Source organism: Homo sapiens, chromosome 4 (assembly GCF_000001405.40).
Source record: "Homo sapiens chromosome 4, GRCh38.p14 Primary Assembly".
Lineage (NCBI taxonomy): Eukaryota > Metazoa > Chordata > Mammalia > Primates > Hominidae > Homo > Homo sapiens.
This window is the reverse complement of record NC_000004.12, coordinates 92,589,184-92,612,779: the sequence shown is the minus strand read 5'-3', so window position 1 is coordinate 92,612,779 and position 23,596 is coordinate 92,589,184. Positions and strand designations below refer to the sequence as shown.

At 34.0% G+C, this 23,596-nt stretch overlaps 1 protein-coding gene across 5 annotated transcripts in view; it reads right to left on the bottom strand.

The window, feature by feature from the left end:
* Positions 1 to 23,596, bottom strand: part of GRID2 (glutamate ionotropic receptor delta type subunit 2) — a 1,506,491-nt gene that overhangs the window by 1,197,677 nt on the left and 285,218 nt on the right. For all 5 annotated transcript variants that reach the window (NM_001440459.1, XM_024454024.2, NM_001510.4 and 2 more), the window contains exon 2: positions 22,494 to 22,649. In NM_001440459.1, the coding sequence (NP_001427388.1) occupies positions 22,494 to 22,649 (156 nt within the window). The remainder of the gene's footprint in view (positions 1 to 22,493; positions 22,650 to 23,596) is intronic.

Genomic DNA, 23,596 nt, shown 5'->3' with positions numbered 1-23,596 from the left:
CAGATCAAAATACAAAAAATAGAGTTTATTCATTAGCAAGAACAATATAACTACAAGAAATGATTCCGTTCACAATATCAAAATGAATAAAATCCTAAGATAACCTAATAGAAGAGCAAGATTTGTATAATGAAAGCCAAAAAAATCTTTCTGCATAGAAATTAAAGCAGATATAAATAGGTGGATATGTATTCTAAATTCATAAATTGAAATACTCAATATTGTTAAGATGGTAATCATCCCCAAATTGATTTATACATTCAACAGAATTGTTACTAATTTCCCAGCATGCTATTTTGCAGCAACTGGCAAGCTGACACCAATATTTATATGAAAACAAGGAGAACTCAATAACCAAAAATAAGTCGGTAGAAAGAAAAAAAGTGTTGGAAAACTTACAGTTCAAGATTTCAAAACTTGCCATAAAGCTACAATATGGTACTAGCATAAAGACAGGAATTTAGATCAATGGAAGACACGAGTATTCTGAAATAGACTCCTATATTCATGGTCAACATACTATCAACAAAAGTGCCAAAATAATTCAACAGGGGAAAGGATAACCTTTCTAAGAAATAGTTCAGGTTAAATTGGATTTCCCCATGCCAAAACAGTGCCTCATACCATACTCAAACACAAACACAAAATAACGGATAGACTTACATATAAAAGTTAAATATAGGCATTTTCTAGAAGACATGAAAAAAAATCTTAATGACCTTGGAATATATTCTTAGATACAATATCAAAGCTAAACACATAAGTTTAAAAAATAACTGCAGCAAAATTTTTAATTTGCATTTTAAAATACTCCACTAAGAAAATAGGGGGGAAAATCATGGACTAGTAGAAGATACTTGCAAACATGTATCTGATTAAAAAAAAACTCTTATCAAGATTATAAAGGAATACTTCAAAATAAATAAGATTGTCAAAAAACCTCAAATAAATATGTATGCATGATTGGAACAAGCACTTCATCAAAGAAAATACACAGATGTCAGTAAAAAGATACTCAATGTCACTAATCATTAGAGAAATACAAAGTAAAACAATAATCAGATACCACTTCACGTATTTTACAAAAGTGGCAAAAATGTGAAGAAATTGGTGGGAATGTGAAATAGTACACAGCTGTCCAGTTACATAAGAAGGTAAACATTAATGTATCATAAAACTGAGCAATTTCTCCCTAAATATCTACCCTAGTAAGATGCTATGACTGAATGTTTGTGTCCCCTCAAAAGTTCATATGTTGAACACTAATGCTCAGTGTGGATTAATTTTAATACAGGGCCTCTAAGGAGGTAATTAAGGTTAAATGACGGCATAAGGATGGAGTCCTTATCTGATAGGATTAGTGTCTTTCTATGCAGAGAAATCAGAGGGCTTGAGCACACTCTGTTTTCATGCACACACAAAGAAGAGATCATATGAGTACATATAAAGAGGGTGGCCCTCTGAAACCTAAGTGGAGAGTCCTCAACAGACTTCAACCTGGCTGGCACCTTGATCTTGGACTTCTCAGACTCCAGAACTGTAAGAAAATAAATTTCTGTTGTTTAAGACACCCAGTCTGTTGTATTTTATTATGCAGCCTAAGCAGGCTAAAACACACACACACACACACACATGCACACACACACATGCACACACACACACATACACACACATATACACACACACATATATATACACACATATATATATACACACACACATATATATATACAGCTACACACACACACACACACACACACAGACTATTCAATAAATATTCATTACAGCACTTTTCCTAAGAGAAGCTGGAAACTAAGTTTCTTCAATTATTGACTGGAAAAACAAAATGATATATCCCTATAATAGAACACTATTCATCATTAAAAGAAAAAAATCTTGTCACTTGCTACAACATAGATAAACATCAAAAACTCATTCTAAGATGCCAGACACAAAAGATTTTGTATTATCTAATTCCATTTAATGAAATGCCCAGAAGAGGCTAATCTATAGAAACAATTCGTGGTTGGCTTGAAGGTAGTATGGAACTGTCAATTGATTGGACTTGAGAGAGCTTGTTGGGTGATGGAAAAGTTCTACAAATGGATTTTGGTGATGGCCATATAACTCTGTAAACTTACTATTAATAGTTTAATTGTACATTTTAATAAGATGAACTAAATGATGTCTCAGTACAGCGTGAAGGACGAGGAAGTGGAAAAGGAGGGGGAAGGGAAAGGAAAAGAAGAAAATGGTAAAAAACAGAAGTGGAGCATCTGAGTTCTCAGAATTGGATATCCTTACTAAGGTGGGCAGAATGATACTTCTGTTACATGTAGTGAAATATTTAGAGACAGGTATGATCGTTATGTTTAGGGTTAAAAGTGGAACAATATCACACACATAAAGTGGGTATTAAATAAGACAGAGATGCCTTTCTCTTACTCATAGCAGTCCAGCCAGGGCAACTCTTCTCTACAGGAGAATCATGTTCCTCCTATCTTGTTGCTCAGTCATCCCCTAATGCATTGTCCCCATCTGCCTGGTAAAACCTGGGTCCCAGCAACGTAAATATTCCAGGTCATTGAAAGGGGGTGTCAGTCTAAGGCAAAGAGCTTGTGTTTAAGTTGGAATGACTTGGAAGTTGTCCACACCTCTGTTCACATTCCATTGGCCCTCTGTATAGGATCAAGGAAAGGTATGAAATGTAATCTTATTTGGGGGACCATAAACCCAGCTAAAACTCTGCTACTGTAGAAGAGGGTAAGGGACTCTTTTGAATAGTTTAACATTGTGGATGAAAAGTTTATTAAATTATGGTAACAGATAATAGTGATAATCCACATACATTTTCAATAGTAAAGAGATTATGCCTAATTAACAGATACACTGGCTCTCTTTTCAAGATCAGAGTTTCTAAATAAAATCAAATATGCAGATAAACTGCATCTATAGTATGTGTAATTTTGATTTAAAAATGAATTTTCAAAACAAGGCAGGGTGTGAAAATATAAGTGACTGCAAGTAGTGGTCAGATAATTGAAGAAGGTATTCTCAAAGATATGACAGTTACATGATAAATGGAAATAAGGTACTAATGTGGTCACGAGAAGAAAGAAAAATTATAGTGATCTACTATTATTATATATATATAATATATATTATTTCCAGTAACTGTTGTACACTCTGCTTTCCACTGGAGAGCCACATCACTTTTGCCCTTTCATCATTCAGGTCTCTGCTCAAAAGTCATCTTCTCAAAAAGCGATTTTCCTGACCACTTTATTTTAAATGGCACCTCACCATCATCATGATTATGCCTAGTATGCTACTTCATTTTTTTTAATACTAACTCTTCAATCTGGAATTGTCTTTATTATTTTTTTTCTTCAACTAGAATATACATTCCCAGAGAGCAAGATATTGTGTTTTACACTGGTACCATGAATTCCTAGACTAATACTTGGCACATAGACACTCGATAAATATTTGTTACATTAATTAAATTAATGAAAACTTAACCACATAGTAAGGCTCTCAAGACTGAAATAATGTTAAATAACCTCGAGCAGACTGTTATATATTTGGTACCAAATATTGGGGATACACTAAGCATGTAAGGAAAAACAAGTATTTCAAGCTGTGTGTGAAGAACAGAAAGTAAGCATACCAACATCAGTGCTTCTCAAAATCCTCTAACACTTCATCTTTACTAATGAAAACTTTATAACTTACTGTACTTTGTATTATGACTGTTTACATCTATATTAATGTTATTTATGTCTTTTATTTGCTAAACAACAAATTTTTGAAGCCAGAAAGCACATTGATGCACCTTGGTATTTAGCACTTACAGTATTTTGCAAATTATAAGTTCTCAATATATATTTGGGTGAAAGAATAAATGAACGATTAACAAAGTGGCCAATTTTTACAAATTGAAGAGCTTGTTTTATTCAGAATAAACAAACCTCAATGGCCACTTGTAATAATCAGACCAATAAAAATACTTATGTTAAAACATTATCTCACTTAATGAAAAAAATAGTAACCATAAACTATGCATATAAAGGAACCACAGTACATGATATTGATATTCTTTATCTACTTCTGTCTAACTCAGTTAGGAAACCATCCATGTTTTCATGTAAGAGCACAGCACCATGACACTCTGAGTTATAGCACACAATGCCAAATGTGTAGTAAAACTCCTTTGAGAGAATTAGTTAATACACATGCATAGCACTTTTTATATTATAAAACTTGGGCGCTTATCTCTTTCTTTAATGTGAAAAGCAATTACTCCATTGAAGATGTAGAATAATTATTTTAAAATATCACTTGCTCTTAAAACACAGTGGAGGCATTGTACCTTTGAAGCGGCATCTTTGAACTCAAACCATTTTCATTACTTTTGCTGCATTTTAAAAGAAATAATAAGACTTTGGTATATGAAGATTGATATCTTTATTAATGTCTTTATTAGTCTTCAATTTTACTTGCTGAATCATGAGTCTTTCCATGCTGAATTCACTATTGCACCACTAGTTTGGGAAAGAGGTGTCCTTGAAGTTGGGAATAGGACACAGATCTTGAGAGAAAAGTTACTGTTTCTGTCCTTGCAGCATGATGTTTACATTCTCAATATCTTCCAGCCCCTACCTCCCATTTTTCTATCAGTCGCAAGGATTTATTTTTGAATATACCTGATTCTGTTGCTTAGACTTTTTCTCCTTTCAGAAAGGAAAGCAGAGCTTACTACTTTTCCCTTTCATTAATTTTTTCCTTCCCCCCTCAACTTGCCATCCTTAGTTATAAGTCACCTCTTTTTCTACTGAACTTTGTATTTTGTTTCTCCTTCACAGAACTTACACATATTGCCTTGTTATCCTATTGTTTACGCACACATTTTTCATCTTCATTCATAGTTTAAAGCTTTGGAAGAGGTAGAGTGCTTCTAAGTTACCTCTACATTCTTCGCTAATTCTACCTCAGTGTCTTGTGCTGAAAGGCTGAACAATGTTGAATTAGTGATGGAGTTGAGAACCTTATTATACTGATCACATCTTGTAAGACCTTTCCTACTCTTCTGCCTGCTCTACTGCCTGGTGTTTGGCCATTTGCTGTTCATTAGCACTTATTTAATGAGTAAGTCTGGGAAACAAAAAGATATGAGATGCAAACAGGTCTGTTGTAACTCGTTACTTTCTCATTATTATTCTAGGTAATAGGTGACAGAAAGTTACCAAGCAAAAGAAAATCTTGGCTATGAAAAATGTTCACCAGTAACTTGCGGTTCTTCCCCACCCCCAGTAACTTAATAATGAGTCTAGTTTACACAGTATAACGCTCCTACAAAGAATGAAATAAAGGAAAAACACTGAAAAATTCTTATCACAAAAAATAAAATATTAAGAAATTTTTGAATAACTGATTCATCAACTTCCTTAACCAAAGTAGAGGCTTAAAAGAAGACATTTTAAATATATAACTTCAGCATTAACATTCGTGTTTATTTCATTTGTCATATTATTTAAATTAAAAATAGTGATGTTTCCTTCACCCACTTATGCCTAGTGTTCCATTATTGGAACGCTAAGCATGTGGGAGTTATTTATATCCTGCTGCTCAAGGTAATTACCAAGGTCTGATTGCAAAAATTCAAAAAATTGCAACCAGGCATAAATGAGTAAGTTCAGACACTCAACTATGCTGTGTATTGGCAATTTGGAGATAGCTGTGTTTCTGCTCAGACTTACTGCCTTTTGGAAGGGGTGCTGCCACTCAGTATCTCCAACATCATGTCGACCTTTGCTGCAACATTAAAGTGTCCATGAACATACAGATTTTATCTTGCAATGCACAGAAGCTAGAAATCTTTGTGAGGCACCCTTACTGTGTTTTGTAATGTGATACATAGATTGACTTTATAATACAATCAAAGATGTAACACTTTCTGATTAGATTAGACAAATATGAGTTAAATAATGATGTTGGTTAAAATTCCAATAGAAAACAATGGCAACTCAAAATAGGATAATTTAGGTAGGGCTTCTTTTTCAATGGGTTAAATTACGCAGGTCTGGGTGGAGTGCAGCCAACGAAAGGGGAATAGTGCAAAAACCCAGAGCTAGTAGCAGTGAGGTGGTACCAGTTCCAGGCCCAAAGGATAAAGGACAAGACAGTGAATTTCAAGAGAGTGATACAGAGCAGGATGCATCAAGAGATACATCAATTTTGTTTGAGGTACAGTCAGCTTAAGACAACCACACACAGAAGACAGAAAATAAATGCCTTACCTTCTTTCTTCTTCCTCTCACTGAAACATGCCTGAACCTCCCAATCAGCAGACTTAAAGCGAAACTAGTGTTCTAGCCACTATTCTAAAGGTTCCAGGTGTAATAAGTTAACCTAACCCAGCTGTTGCTCATTTTCTTCATCTGTAAAACGCTAATAAGAATAGTAACTACCTTATACCTCATAAGTCAGTATAAAGATCAGGAGAAAACAAAGTATTTTCAACAGTTCATTGGATGTGATAAGTTATGAATAAATGTCTCTTACTATTGGCTTTATCAAATGAGGCTCTTTTGTACAAGTGTACAGAAAACTATAAAAGCCACAAAATGAGGTTTCTTTCTTAGGATTCAATAATATATCTCTGTGAATTACTCTGTGTTAGAAGAACAGGAAAACTGAGTAAATTTATTTTCAAAAACAAATTTTGGTATTTATTTTAGTTTTCCTGGAAAGAAGAACACTTACAGGAAAAGCTCTTATGTTTCCATAATTAAATTCAAAATCAGAATTATAGCAGGTGAATTTAAAATCTAAAAAGGGTCCAGTAAAAAAGTCTCCATGCCAAAATGTCAGTGAGATCTGCAGGAATACCAGGTTTTCCTTCGGAATACACACCATGTCCAAGGGGAGTATAAGGAACCAAAGCTGATTTAGGTAAAAAACTCACAAGTAATATGGTTGACAAGCAAGGAATGACATTGATGATGGAAATAAATATTTGTAAGGCAACAGAATAAAAATTTGAGTGTCCACAAGAACATATAGTTCCTCAACACAGCAAGCTCCTACCTCCAAATTACTTTCCCATATGAAATAGCTTGGAATGCTATTCCCTTCATATTTTCATGTCTGTCTACTACTCAACCTGAAATCTTAAAGGTTTTTTGTTTGTTTTTGGCATCCATCATCATCATCTTATAAAAAATGAGCCCTTGATTTTAAATCATACACATTCTACCTGTTATTTTAGTATCATTATTTTATGTCACTTGTTTCCACTATAAATAAAATTATCAACTTTTCTAGATCTCTTTGTATATTGCCCCTAGTAGACTATACATTCCTTGAGTACTTGAATTAAATTAGTCTAACTCATCTGTATAAATCCCAATCTAGTGTACCGTGAATAAGAAGTATCCTACAAATAAGTGAACAATTATGATTCTTATTTTTGAAAGAATAAATTGACCTTGGAAATTCCTAGTTTCCGTCATTTGGCCTCCCCTTCTCTTATTTAAGCATTAAGCAGTTTCCAAAGAAAGAAAATGTACACTGGTGTATTAGTCCATTTTCATACTGCTATAAAGAACTGCCTGAGACCAGGTAATTTATAAAGGAAAGAGATTTAATAGACTCACAGTTCAGCATGGCTGGGAAAGGCTTCAGGAAACTTACAATCATAGCAGAAGGTGGAGGGGAAGCAAGGCATCTTCTTCACAAGGTATCAGGAAGGAGAAATACTAAGCAAGGGGAAAGACCCCCTTATAAAACCATCAGATCTTGCGAGAACTCACTATCAGGAGAACAGCGTGGGGGAAACTGCCCGCATGATTCAATTACCTCCACTTGGTCTTTTCCTTCACAGGTGGGGAATATGGAGCTTATGAAGATTAAAATTCAAAATGAGATTTGGGTGGAAAAAGGAAGCCTAACTATATCAACTGGTGATTTATTCTGTGCTCACATGGATCCCTGGCATAAATTGTGGGTAAGCTGAAGGACAGTGGTTTGACATAAAGCCTGCCTGTTTCCATTTTGTCAGACATAATAAATAGGATTAAAAAATATTTTATTTTAAGTTCTGAGATAGATGTGCAGGACATGCAGGCTTGTTACATAGGCAAATGTTTGCCATGGTGGTTTGCTGTACCTGTCAACCCATCACCTAGCTATTAAGCCCCACATGCCTTAGTTATTTATCCTGATGCTTTCTCTCTCCATAACCCCCAAAAGTCCCCTCCCTGTTCCCCTCCCTGTGTCCATGTGTTCTCATTGTTCAGCTCCCACTTATAAGTGAGAACAGGTGGTGTTTGGTTCTCTGTTCCTGTGTTAGTTTGCTGAGGAAAATAGCTCACAGCTCCATCCATGTCCCAGCAAATGACATAATCTCATTCCTTTTTATGGCTGCATAGTATTCCATCATGTATATGTACCACATTTTCTTTATCCAGTTTATCATTGACGGTCATTTGGATTGATTCTATGTCTTTGCTATTGTGAATACTGCTGCAATGAAGATACGCATGCAAGTATTTTTATAATAAAATGATTTATATTCCTTTGGGTATATACCCAGTAATGAGATTGCTGGGTTAAATGGTATTTCTGGTTTTAGTTCTTTGAGGAATTGCCACACTGTCTTCCACAATGGTTGAACTGATTTGCATTCCCACCAACAGTGTAAAAGTGTTCCTCTTCCTCCACAGTCACACCAGCATCTGTTGTTTCTTAACATTTTAATAATTGCCATTCTTACTGGCTTGAGATAGTATCTCATTGTTGTTTTGATTTGCATTTCTCTAATGATCGGTGATGTTGAGCTTTTTTTCATGTTTTTGGCCATATAAATGTTTTTTTATTTTATTTTTGAGAAGTGTCTGTTCTTGTCATTTGACTACTTTTTAATGGAGTTGTTTTTCTCTTCTAAATTTGTTTAAGTTCCTTGTAGATTCTGGACATTAGACCTTTGTCAGGTGGATAGATTGTGAAAATTTTCTCCCATTCTGTTGGTTTTCTGTTCTGATGGTAGTTTATTTTGCTGTGCAGAATCTCTTTAGTTAAATTATATTTATTTGTCAAATTCTGCTTTCGTTGCAATTGCTTTGGGCGTTTTCTTCATGAAATCTTTGTCCCTCCCTCTATCCTGAATGGTATTGCCTAGATTTTCTTGTAGGGTTTTTATCATTTTGGGTTTTACATTTAAGCCTTTAATCCATCTTGAGTTAATTTTTGGATAAGAAAGGGGTCCAGTTTCAGTTTTCTAAGTATGGCTGGCCAGTTTTCCCAGCACCATTTATTAAATAGGGAATCCTTTCCCCATTGCTTATTTGTGTCAGGTTTGTTTAAGATCAAATGGTTGTAGATGTGTACTCTTATTTCTGAGATCTCTGTTGTGTTCCATTGGTCTGTGTGTGTGTTTTCTGTCAGTACCATGCTGTTTTGGTTACTGTAGCCTGTAGTATAGTTTGAAGTCAGGTAGTGTGATGGCTCAACTTTGTTCTTTTTGCTTAGGATTGAATTGGCTGTTCAGGCTCTTTTTTGGTTCCATATGAATTTTAAAGTAGTTTTTCTAATTCTCTGAAGAATGTCATCGGTAGTTTAATGGGAATAGCATTGAATCTATACATTGCTTTGAGCAGTATGGCCATTTTCATAATATTGATTATTCCTATCCATGAGCATGGAATGTTTTTCCATTTCTTTGTGTCCTCTCTGATTTCTTTGAGCAGTGGTTTGTAGTTCTCCTTGAAGAGGTCCTTCACTTCCCTTGCTAGCTGTATTCCAAGGTATTTTATTCATTTTGTAGCAATTGTGAATTGGAGTTCATTTATTATTTGACTGCTTGTCTGTTGTTTGTGTATAGAAATGCTTGTTATTTTTGCACATTGATTTTGTATCCTGAGACATTGTTGAAGTTGCTTATTAGCTTAAGAAGCTTTTGGACTAAGACGATGGGGTTTTCTAGATAGAAGATCATGTCATCTACAAACAGAGACAGTTTGACTTCCTCTCTTCCTATTTGAATAACCTTTATTTCTTTCCCTTGCCTGATTACCCTGGCCAGAACTTCCAACACTATGTTGAATAGGAGTCGTGAGACAGGGCATCCTTGTTTTGTGCGAGTTTTCAAGTTGAATGCTTCCAGGTTTTGCCAATCCAGTATGATACCGGCTGTGGGTTTGTCATACACACCTGTTAATATTTTGAGGTATGTTCCATTGATATCTAGTTTATTGAGAGTTTTTAACATGAAGGGATGTTGGATTTTATCAAATTCCTTTTCAGCATCTATTGAGATAATCATGTGGTTTTTGTCTTTAGTTCTGTTTATGTAATGAATTATGTTTATTGATTTGTGTATGTTGAAACAGCTTTGCATCCCAGGGATGACACCTACTTGTTCATTGTGGATAAGCTTTCTGATGTGTTGCTGAATCCGGTTTCCCAGTATTTTATTGATGATTTTTACATCGATGTTCATCAGGGATACTGGCCTGAAGCTTTTTCTTTTTTCTTTTTCTTTCTTTTTTTCTTTTCTTTTCTTTTTTTTTTTTTTAAATCTCTGGCAAGTTTTGGTATCACAGTGATGCTGGCCTCATAAAATGAGTTAGGGTGAAGTCCCTCCTTTTCAATTGTTTGGAATAGTTTCAGAAGAAATGCTATCAGCTCCTCTTTGTACCTCTGGTAGAATTCAGCTATAAATCCGTCTGGCCCTGGGGTTTTTTTCCTTGAGAGGCTATTTATGACTGCCTCAATTTCAGAACTTGTTATTGGTCTGTTCAAGAATTCAACTTCTTCCTGGTTCAGTCTTGCGAGGGGGTATGTGTCCAGGAATTTATCCATTTCTTCTAGATTTTCTAGTTTATTTGCATAGAGGTGTTTATAGTATTCTCTGATGGTTGTTTGTATTTCTGTGGGGTCAGTGACAGTATCTTTTTTATCATTTTTCTTGTGTCTATTTGATTCTTCTCTTTTCTTTATTATTTCAGCAGGTGGTCTACATTTTTAAATAAATAATAATAAATCCTGGATTTATTTTTGAAGTGTTTTTCATGTCTCTCCCTCCAGTTCCTCTCTGATCTTGGTTATTTCTTGTTTTATGTTAGCTTTGGGGTTTGTTTGCTCTTAGTTTTCTATTTCTCTTAGTTGTGATGTTAGGATGTCAATTTGACATCTTTCTAGCTTTTTGATGTGGGCCTTTAGTGCTATAAATTTCCCTCTTGACACTGCTTCAGCTATGTCCCAGAGAATCTGGTATGTTTTCTCTTTGTTCTCATTAGTTTTAAAGAACTTCTTGATTTCTGCCTTGATTTCATGATTTATCCAAAAGTCATTCAGGAGCAGGTTGTTCAATTTCCATTTAGTTGTATGGTTTTGAGTGAATTTCTTAATCTTGAGTTTGAATATGAGTTCACTGTTGTATGAGATATTGTTTGTTATGATTTCAGCTATTCTGCATTTGCTAAAGAGTGTGTTACTTCTAATTATGTGATGAATTTTAATGTAAGTGCCATGCTCTGCTAAGAATGTATATCCTGTTATTTGTGGGTGGAGAGTTCTATTGATATCTATCAGGTCCACTTGATCTGTGGCAGATCCTGTCTAGACTGCCTCTTTAGGCTGGACCCTGACTGATCCTTCCTCACTGGATGGGGCCTCCCTGCAGGAATTTCAGCAACTTCAGGCAGGAGTGTAGGGACAGAGCTCTGGTCTCTCTGGGGTTAAGCCCTTTGGGGGAGGGACGGCTGTGGTCTCCATGGATCAACAGACTTAGTCCTTCCTGGTGGCTCTGAGGAATCTAGGCAGTCCAGATGTATGGGAGTGCCCCCAGCACAGTGCACTTCCTCTACCAAGGGGCAGCCAGAGTGCTTTGTTAAGAGGTCCTGCATCTTATGCCTCCTGACTGGGTGAGACTCTCCAACAGGGGTCACCAGATACCTTTTACAGGAGCATTCCTGCTAGCATCAGGTCGGTTTCCCTCTGCGACGGAGATCCCGGAGGAAGGAGCAGGCAGCCATCTTTGCTGTTCTGCAGCCTCCACTGATGACACCTCCAGGTATGGGAGGGGCCCAAGTGAATAGGGTCTGAAGTGGACCCCGAGCAAACCACAGCAGCCCTACAGAAGAGGGGCCTGACTTTAAAAGAAAAACAAACAACAGAAGGCAGCAACAACAGCATCAACGAAAAAGTCCCCATAGTCAGTCATCATTTCAGTCTTTTTACACAATCCCGTAGTTCTTGGAGTTAATATAGAGATAAAACTTTGAACTGTGCAACACAATTCTAAACACTAAAGCTTACTGAACAAATAAATATAACATAATAAAAGCAGGATTTCTGAGCAGGTAGAATGAGGCTAATATGACAACTTCTCATCCCTTGACCTGTAAGAATGTGACCTTTTCTGTTTTGTGTATTAATTTTTAATCCTCTAGTTACCCTCTCTCACCTGAGCCCTCTATACCTTGCTCAGGTTTAATAACATGAATGAGTACATGAGACCACTTCAGAACTTTCTGTTTGTATAAGTATACATTCAAAAATACAAAAATATTTCTTAGCATTCAAGGTAATACTATTCAAGAATATTCTCTATACTAAGATTGTTTCTGACTTTGATTTGTCAACTGCTTCCCCACCTACACCCTCCCCTAAAATACATTCTGAGAAATATATATATATATATATATATATATATATATATATATATATATACACACACACACACACACACATACATGAAGTATTGCCCTGTCGCCCAGGCTGGAGTGCAGTGGCGCAATCTCGCCTCGTTGCAATGTCCACCTCCCAGGTTCAAGCGATTCTACTGCCTGAGCCTCCCGAGTAGCTGAAACTACAGGTGTATGGCACCAGGCCCAGCTAATTTTTGTATTTTAGGTAGAGACGGGGTTTCACCGTGTTGGCTAGAATGGTCTCGATATCTTGACCTCGTGATCCATCTGCCTTGGCCTCCCAAAGTGCTGGGATTACAGGCGTGAGCCACGGTGCATGGCCTGGAATATATATTTTTTATATATAGTAGACATTTTAATGTATATTTATGTTTGAAATATAGCTTAAGAAATGGACTTAACCCATCTAACCATCATATCACGTTAGTCTATCAAAGACCAAAAAGTAAATCTGTTTTGAAGTGAGGCATAAATTCTTAAGAAAATAACATGATATCATGTGTTTTTGAAGTACAGTACAAGAAATTCAAATAAGCAAATGACTGAGTTTTTAAAGTTAATATTTCCCTATGTATAATTGCAATGAAATGTGCAAAGCATGGAAAGATAACCTTTTAAACAATCATGTCAGATATAAATTTGCCAGAGATGATCCATCTTTCAAAGCATAAAGCTTTCCTTGAATTAATTTCTATATTCAACCTTCATATATATCACTCTCCTACAACACTATGTTGCTCTACAGCCAAATTCCATTTAGCTATGACTCAGCGCCTTATTTACTTCACCGATTGTATTAAGCCTACACAAATCATCAGAAAGCTTTAATTTGGCCTCCATGGCCTTTCTCTACTTCCCAGAAATGGTAACAAGGTATTTTAAATCCTCCCAACCCTAAGTACACATGTTGCAACATCACTACTATTTGCCAAATAAATTACACTACATGTATAATTCTCATCTTCCTGTGCTGACTAGCAGAACCAGCCCAAGGAAAGAGAGAGAGAGAGAGACAGGAAAAAAAAAAAAAAAAAAAAAGGAAAAGCATTTCATTATATATATTTAAAACCACAGCACTCAAAATCTTGGTAAGGAAAGTCCCATTTGGGCAAAAATATGTCGCTGACTACGCAGGTAATAAGGTTAGGCTCAGAGGTATCCATGGGAACCACTAATAAAAGTACTAGAATATGTTTGGGAAGGAAATATTGGAAACGGGTGAAAACTTACTGAGGGACACATGCAATGGTACTAAATCATCACATACAGCACTATCATTAAAATGTAATTAGATTAGTGGAGGAACCCATCTACCATATTTACAATCCCATATAATCATTACACAATAATCACATAATCATATTAATGCTATGGAGTATGTATTTATCCTCATTTTACATGTGAAGAAACTGAGACTCAGAAATAGTAGGTGTGTTCAAGGGCCCACAGATAATAAGACATAGAGCAGAATTCATACATAAAATAAAGGCAGGTATCTAATTCCATGGGCTATGAACTTAATATATATGTTTTTCCCTGCGAGGTAAATGAAACCAAGTTTAAGATTTACATACCGAACTAAATGCAGACATTTTGAGTGTCTGCAGTATAATATGGAGAGTCAAGGATTAAAAGGGGGCTAAATAAAGAGTTTAAAAATAGTACTATAATGGGAGGGCAAAAAGAAGAGAGGTACACATAGGTCAGGACCTAACACTAGGTTACAGAGTAAAGGCCAAATTAACCATGTAAGACGACAGGGCAGCCAATGGAGAGCATGACAGTGTGCAGAGTAGTTGGCACAAGACTGAATGTTCACAGGCACCCAAAAGGTACTGGCGGATTCATTTTCTTTTTTTTCCCAGAATATGCAATTTCCTATTGCACACTGGCTTATTGCATGTTCCTTTTAAAAGAGAGCTTTTCTGTAATAATTATTTTGAAAATTACAAGATAACAAACTATTGCATGAGTCCCAAAAGACTATTCAGTGTGATTCCCATAAACCTCATTACACTTGTCAAGGACAACAAAAAATAGGTGTTAAATGTGAAAGTAAATGTCAGCTTGCTATTTCTTCTAAAATTAACCAGGTAAACTGGATCATATAAAAGTTGGATATTGATAATAGTGATAACAGATTGAAAATTCCAAATATACTGAAGTCATCATTGGTTTGTCAACATGAACTTAAATTATTTTATGACTACATAATGATCTCTCATTACAACTGCGAGTGTAGGTAAATGTGGTTTTTAATCAAATCAACCAGATATTCAGAGTTAATTTAAGATATGTAGTGATTCCTCTAATGAGTCAGTTTCAAAAAAGACTGATTAAAAGTGAATTATGTTACCATATCCATGCACCATACATACAGACATAGAAGAATACAAGAAAGTGATGTGCTATTATTAGGAGAAAAGAATTGGTAGAAGAAAGAACACAGACAACAAAAGAACAAATCTTTACTTCCTTTAAACACAGCTTTCACAGAACGCTGCTAAAGACTCTTCCAAATAAAACAAAATCCAGAGCAGCACAAATTGCTAAAATATATATTTTATGAGGTAACACAACAGATCACAATTGTAGATAGTGAGGTAAAAGTCCTCGAAGCACAAAGGCTATAAAATTATGATGTAGAGGTCTGTAAACATCTGAATTTCAATCCATTCACTGTAGTAGAGACCTGTTACTTCAAGAGTATGATATCAAATGAGGTAAGGGAAAGACATACAAATACAGCAGTAAAACAACAAATAACAGGAAAAAAGATTAGACTATGCAATTTGTATCTTCATTAATATTTTGTTTAAAGGTAAAGTAATAACCTTCTTTAAGAAAGAATATATTTTCTTCCCCTTCTGCCATGATTGTAAGTTTTCTAAGGCCTCCTCAGCCATGTGGAACTGTGAGTCAATTAAACTTCTTTCCTTTATAAATTAAACAAATAAAAATAAAAATAAAAATAAATAAATTTGGTATAATGATCGTAAAAAAAAGAAAATACCTGTCTTTCCTGAAAAGTATACTTAAAAAGCTAGACCATCTTGTTCCTTCTATTATTAACACAATTAAACCTCAAGTTAAAGGTAGAGGGGAACGGCATGCTTTTTCATGGTTAAAAATCCACAGCTTTCCTCAAATACATTTTTATTCCTGGAGTTATATGCTGTGTTCTTTTGTTTTTTGGTTATCTCCCATTGTAGCTGGCTCAATCTTGGAAGTACTAGGCATTTAATAAGCACTTGAATAAATTAATTTGACTGAGTAATCTCAAAATTAGGTTCTAAATATATATATTTTTAATTGCTCTTAATGGGAAATTCTGCAGTGGAAAAGGTTTGTGTGAGCTGTTTTTTTTTTTCTTAATGCATATTGGTGTTGTCTCTAACAAGCATAGAATTATTTGTCCTTTAATACTACATTGATGATGGACACTAAAGATCACACATAAGATAGATTCTAATTCCAGACCTTGTGGCCCAGTCTTTAGAATGTGACAGGCAAGGAGAAAAAGTAATACAGGTTTTGGCAGGAGATTGCTGGGGAAAGGACCAAGCTAAGTATCTTCCCTCATAGAGGAAAACAGGGGGTTTAGTCACTGAATAGACATCCAGCATCCCTCCTGATGTGCAGGTGTTTGGAGATGGCTGTTCAACAACACGATTTGCTCCTTCCACTAATTCACACATGTAGATGGTCCAGAGTTAACCAGAGCACTGGGATAGACATTGAGACTCAAGGCACAACCTTGACTTTGATGTGGGAAGGAAAGTAGGAATGAAAACAGTGAATAAATGAACGAATGGATGAATGAATGAATGAATGAATGAATGAATAGAATCATACCCACATGATCTCCTAGTTTTGTTTCTCAGCTCCTACAGACAACAATTCTCAAGTTTAGTTTATTGTCAGACAATTCAGAAAATAAGCTGGAATTGAAGTTATCAAAATTGGTCCAGGAAACACAGGCTGTTGGGGTACACATACTGTAGTATTATGCTAGGAAAGTTGCAGAATCCAGTGTAAGAAGTTTGAAATTAGCAGATTTTTTAATCACAGTAAAAATGTCATATTAAAGCAGTGGGCAAATAAATGAAATATAAATGAGAATAATCCCTGGAAAGAAGTGTCAAATAATGCAGCCACACAAATCATTCTATTTACATCTTCTTTGGACTAGACTATTTAGATTTAATCAATGACCAGAAATATTCACCATGGATGGTAATGTGTTTTGGAGATGTGCTTTTTCCTAATTATATTTCCTTGCACTTTTTCTGACTGTGCTAATTTCCTGTCATCCCATTTACACACATGAAATAAATATGTATGTATTTTTATAACTATAAAGAAATGAGATTGGTAACATAAACCAAAAATGAATGCAGTTTTATTGTTTTATAAGCATAATCATATACTGGAAATTATTTTATTTTAGAAGATATATGAGGCAGATCTAATTGAAATCATCATTTTATTAGTGAAATGTTTACCTTTTACAAGAGCAATGGGTAATCAACACTGGTGTTAAGATATGCAAAGAAGTAGTCGTAAGGTCTACCAGACTGAAACTTGCAAGATGATCTCTATTAACTACAACTTTTTTATATATATTAAAAATATCATTTATTTTGTGTTCATATTTCCAGCATCACAACAGTTTAACTTTAATGAATCCCATTACTGCATATTACAATAAGAGTTTGCTTCTTTGAATTGTACTTTGAGATATTGATTCAAATTTTTATATTTCAAAAAGCACTGGACATTTTTTCAAAAACCTTGTGTTTTTAAATTATAATGATATTGTTTATAATGTTTTGCAATACATAAAAAAGTATTATAGTTTAATACATTTTCTTTCAAACAGAATCATTTGTGACTTTATAGTATAATGTTGCCCTTATATTCACGATGCAGCTTATTTTTAGGTATTTTTCTAATAAGAGCAATTATTTCAAAATTGTTTAGCTGAATCTTGTCATTAAATATCAAAGAATGATGCTTCACTTCCTTCTTAATACATCAAATACATGTAAGAATTATATATGGATTCATACTTCATTCACCTTTTGACTTGAGGATTTCTACAAATATACCATCCTTACATTTCCTGACTTTGTTTTCTTATAAATTTCCACCTTTCATGGCCCATTTTATGTTCATCTCAGCTAAGAGCTAACAATATAAACAATAAGTACTGCTTTCAGAAACGACAGCAGTGTTTTTCACAAAAACATTTGTACATTTATGCTAAATGTTGTACATAGATGCCACAGAAGAAAAAATTTATAAGAGAAAATAAAAAGAGTAACTTATGAATAAAAAGAGTAACCTATGAACAGCTACTTTGGTTCAGGTTAAGGGAATCAGCACAAGATCCTTTGAATTCTATTGGTGGTAATGAGTACTGTGGGTTGTGGTGAATAGTTGAATGAGGTGGCAGAACAAACAATGGATACCCTATATCTGTTTAATCTATTTTAAAGTCAGACACAGAAAAACTAGGAGGCAATTTCAGCAACGTGAAACTTTCTCTAAAGGGACACTAAATAATGATCGTTTCTATAAGGTTCTAATTCTAGAACTGTGTTCTTAAGGGTCATAGAAGCATAGAGATGAAAGTTACCTTAAAAATACATTATATTCAGATTCCTTCATTTTTTACAAATGAGGAAAACCAAGGCCAAAAGAACAAGATTGATTTATATAATGTAACTGGTCTTTATCACCTAGATTGAAATTTTCCTACTATTCCATGGTTGAACATAAATAATAAATAGCAAATAAATATCAAAACATAAATCTGCTACTTTTTTGAGTCCTTACATTATTTACTGAAGTCCTATAATACATTGTGCTATCTCATGTGTGTCTATATATATGCATGGGTGGGTATATAGCAAGAAAAATACTGGACTAGTGATGTAAAGGAGGTCTTGGTTTAGTTCTTTTTCTGCTACACACAAGCATGGTAACCCTAGAAGAACTAGGGAAAATTATTTAACCTCTCTGGGTCTCAATTATTTCATCTAAATTGTGAAAATATTCAACCAGATTTATATAATTTTCCACCCCTATAATTCTCAAGGTTTTTAAAAATAACCCATATACGTTTTTTTTTTCTTTTTGTATTTATCTTTTTACGGAGAACACTACATCCTAGATACCAAAATAGCCTATCCAAATGAAAAAAAAAATTGTCAAGAAAACCTCGTGAGTTAAGGTTTGAAAATGTATTTGCCCTTAGTTAATATCCTGCAGCTCAGTACACAAAAGATGAAAAATGGCTTATCAACAAATACATTCATAAGAAAGGAAAAAAGAATAATCTCAAAATAGGTAATTTATTTCCAGATAACTTTTGTGAAAACAGAAATTTTTTTCTATTATTCATGTATTTCAAAGATCTGAAATCAATGTTACCAAATACTGACAAAATTAACAGATACAGTCATTGATCTCCAGAGAATGGAATGTGTACCCCGTGTTATAACTGAGGTATCTGTCTAGAAACTCATTTTCTAAAGGATTAATTGCTATCCAAAAATGTACTGTAGCCAAAGCTACAAAGGAAGATTTCCAAAACACCAATACTCTTTATTACTGTTTATGGGTTATATAGGCTGTCACTGAATTCCTCTCTCTTATTAAGTGATAACAGTAGAAAGATACAGTGAACAGAAATTTTGATTTTTAAAATAAAAAACCAGCTCTTAAATGTGGCTGATTAGAGGAAATTCTAACAATAAAATAAATTGAGGATTTCAAGCTATTAGATTTTACTTATCTAACCTCTGAGTGATCCCTATTATCATTTGTCATTATTACTATCTATATGTTTGATGATGCTATTTGTTCAAGGATGAGACTTTCAAATTTGAATAAACAGGCAGAGGGATCAAAACCATGAGTTTTTCTATAAATTCATTAGGAGTGCTAATATATAAGCAATCACTTATAATTGTATCATTGAATCTTTTTTCCTTCTTTAGACTGTAAAAAAATGAAAACAGACAAGGTGATGTTAGTCCCTCTCAATACAAGTTTGCATAGTATTGCAGTAAACATGTGAGAGAAAGTTGACTATCTTCAATGGCACAGTTGAGGTTTTCTCCTAAATTACTTCCTCAAAACATTGAAGAAAATAGTGCTTCTGAATGGGTTGTTTGTTATCTTTCAATAGAATATTTTCTCTTATTTTTTTCAAGCCACCGTTTTACAAAAAAAATTCTATAAATAAGTATTTTTACTTCTAACATTAACTGAAACCCTTCTTGATATTGAATAGGGAAACAAATTGTCTTTAAAGCTTCCTGGAACTCATTTCAGGTTTATTACCCAAAGCTGACCATCACAATAACTGGTGGAGAACATCCTGTTAGTATCAGAAACCATCAGGCAAACTGTCCAGCTCTTTCATTTTTCTTGACAAATACCTAGTGGTCTCTATCTGGGAACCTTATTGCCTCTCTCAATTTGCTTTCAGTGCCGTCACGTCACTATTGCAAGATATTTTTGTTTTCAGAATTTAGCTGGCAGCAGAATAATTAAAGAGAGCAATGTTGAAACAAAAAAAAAGGTGTAGTATTTAAAAAACTGTCATTACTTTTCAAATTATAGTCTTTAATAAAGGGGTGAGGGACTTTTTCTTCTTAATTTATAATTCCGGTTTCTCACCACTGTGTTGTCTTCATTTCATTTTTTTTCTTACTACTTTTTTACTCAAGGTTAATTTTTAAAAAGCATAGGTAGTTTAGCCTGTCTTTGAAGTTAATTCACAATTATTAATATGTAGTTACTAAGAAGATAAAGAAAGAAATCAGTCCTCACGTTTTTCCTGCTCACATTCTGGTCCTTACAAATAAGAGTTAAGAAAGAAAAATAATACAGATTTCTTAAAAATGAATGACATATATTTCCTATTGAATATATCTTTAAAATGATTTGGTATCTTCAAATTCTATGTTATGATTTTCCAGATCCTTCTATTATTTCTAATATTAATTTATACTGCTTTTAAATATTTCCATAGAAAATTTATTAATATTTATTAACATTTCCAGTATTGAAATCCTTATATTGTCGGGATGATTCTGATTTTAAAATGTAAATAACTGAATGGTTATTTCAATCTGACTTTTTGCATTAATGTTTACTTATTAAAAATTAAAATCTCATTGTATTATTATAAACATTATTATCCTATTCTTTGTAAAGCCAGTTTTTACTTAAAACAGTTCTATTCATTTCAAAAAATAATGATTTTTTACTCCATTCCATTAACAAGGAAAAAACTTTTAGACCACCAATCACATATCTATTTTCTAACTAACATAAATAAGTTTCAACAGTAGCCAGTGCTATTGATTGAAAATATATTTCAATAAATGTTACCTGCGCATCAAGCAGATAAAACAGTAAATGAAAAGTACACATTTTCAGACACTTTTATTTTCCTTACTCTTTCAATGTTTGCATTACAAAAAAAATCCTGCCCAACTTTGTTACAGTTAATATGGTATCTGCCTTTTCTTCTGCCAAATTCTATTTAAATTTTTAATGAGGCAAATGTTTTATTTGACTAAATTAATTTTGCATTCATTATCTTCAGTTTAAATACATCATCACAATAAAAAATAAGGTAGACTAGTTTCTTAGTTTAGGCTGCTACATCAAAATACCTCAGGCTAAGTAATTTATAAGTAACATAAATTTATTGCTTACAGTTCTGGAGACCAGCAAATCCAAGATCAAGGGCCCAGCAGATTAGGTGTCTTGTGAGAGATCTTCTTCTGCTTCACAGACGGTGCCTTCTTGCTGAGTCCTCGAATGGCAGAAGGGGCAGGCAAGTTCCCTTGGGCCTGTTTTATAAGGGCACTAATCCTATCCATGAGGACAGAGCCCTCATGACCTAATCATCTCCTGAAGGCCCCACCTCTTAATACCACCAGAATGGGAATTCAGTTTCAACCTATGCAGCGGGGTAGGAGGGGACACAAACATTCAGACCTTCCCAATTATCAACCAATAGTTTCATTTAAAGTGAGTGCTTTCTGGATCAAGGCTAAATGTTTAATTAGACTAATAGAAGCAAACAGAAAATTCCATTTTTCTAGGATCTTTCAATCAAAACCTTCATAATAGGAATGATGATTCCAATATATTAAAAATAATTGGTATTTGCATTACTTTGCACCAATGAAAAAATTTAATTTACTCAGGTTTACAGAGGAAAAGGAGGAAAGTGCTTTAATATTTGGTGCCTCGTAGAGAGTAAAATTTATAGCGTAGGTCAGTATGTTAGAGTCCTAATACAAAATCTTTGATTTGTATGTAGTGTCCAAGGGTTTTTCTTTCAGCAGTACATTTGTCATGAGTTCACCTGATATGTCATCCCAAGTTGTAACAATACCCAAGGTGGCAGTTATCTCAGAGAAGTCCAAAGTAAACTTTCTGTTAGAAAATACTATTTTAAAAAGATGTTTCATTTACACTGAAGTCATAAAAATGTTGCAAAGCTTTTACATGTAAATATTTGTTCATTTTCATATTATATTTCAATTAATATAATAACTTTCCACATTCTGCCCTTTCAAAACTGGAATACAAGATTAACATCTACAAAACAGTGATCTCCAAGGAAAATAATGCCCTATTATCAACAAGATACAAAAATGATGTCCATGTTTAATAAGTTTCATCAAAGATAATTTCATTGCCACTTGAATTGAACCAAAAAACCAAAATAAATACTGATGACCTTACCTTCTTGAACTGCTTGGAAAGGGTTGTTGCCATCAACAAACGTCACTGAAAATGTGATTTTCTCAGTCTGTAAGATCTCCTCATTCTGGTTAAGGTCACCAACCGCAGTGCGAAATACCTCATCATCCTTTTTGGCAGATTCATCAAAAATTGCTCCTAGAAAGAAGTGAATTTTGCCATTAAATAATAACATAAATATTCTGTCATCCCCTCTGGAAATATGACAAGGAGACTTATGTGTTTAAAAAACATATACTTTCACTTAGAGCATGCACTTTATTTATTAATGAAACACATTGTACTGGAAGCAGTGTAATAGCTGAGAAGGAATATAGTTACTTCTTCCAAATGGAATGATAAATAGTACCTCAAAGTGTTATTGCGGGGAGGTCATGGGGAAGAAAACATAATAGGTATAAAAAGCTTCTACATGACAAAGTATCCAATACATTGGATATCTTATATCATGAAATTTTTAAGGAATTCATAGCTGGAAGATTTCTTTTCTGAATAAAAGGAAATAACCTCAGAAAACTTCTTGAGGTCCATTCATAGAATATATAGGAATCAAACCTTTCTTGCGATCTTAATTTATTTTTCATTTCCTTCCTTTCTTACTCCCCCCATTTTTTTGAACACGGGTTTCATTATCTTTTATAATAGTAAAGTCAATAATATTTATAGAAAATGTAAAGACATTCAAATCTCTGTGCAGAGGGAATGGATAAATATTTCTCAAGGAACTAATGTAAGTCCTAATGGATAATTATAGCATTTTTTATCCATGTGTAAATATGATGATGATAAACACTGTGCTAACTTTTATTGACTATTTGATTGGTAATGGAATATTTGGTAAACACATTGATTCTAAGAGCAAACTGATTTTAAATACTGACCGTCACTTGTTAAGTATACGACCTTGAGCAACATGCTCAAATTCTACACCTCACATTTGTCTAACCTCACATTGTATGTATTAAACACATTTGTCTAAACCTCACGTTGTGTGTATTAAACACATTTGTCTAAACCTCACATTGTGTGTATTAAACACATTTGTTTAAACCTCACATTGTGTGTATTATCATTATATACACAGT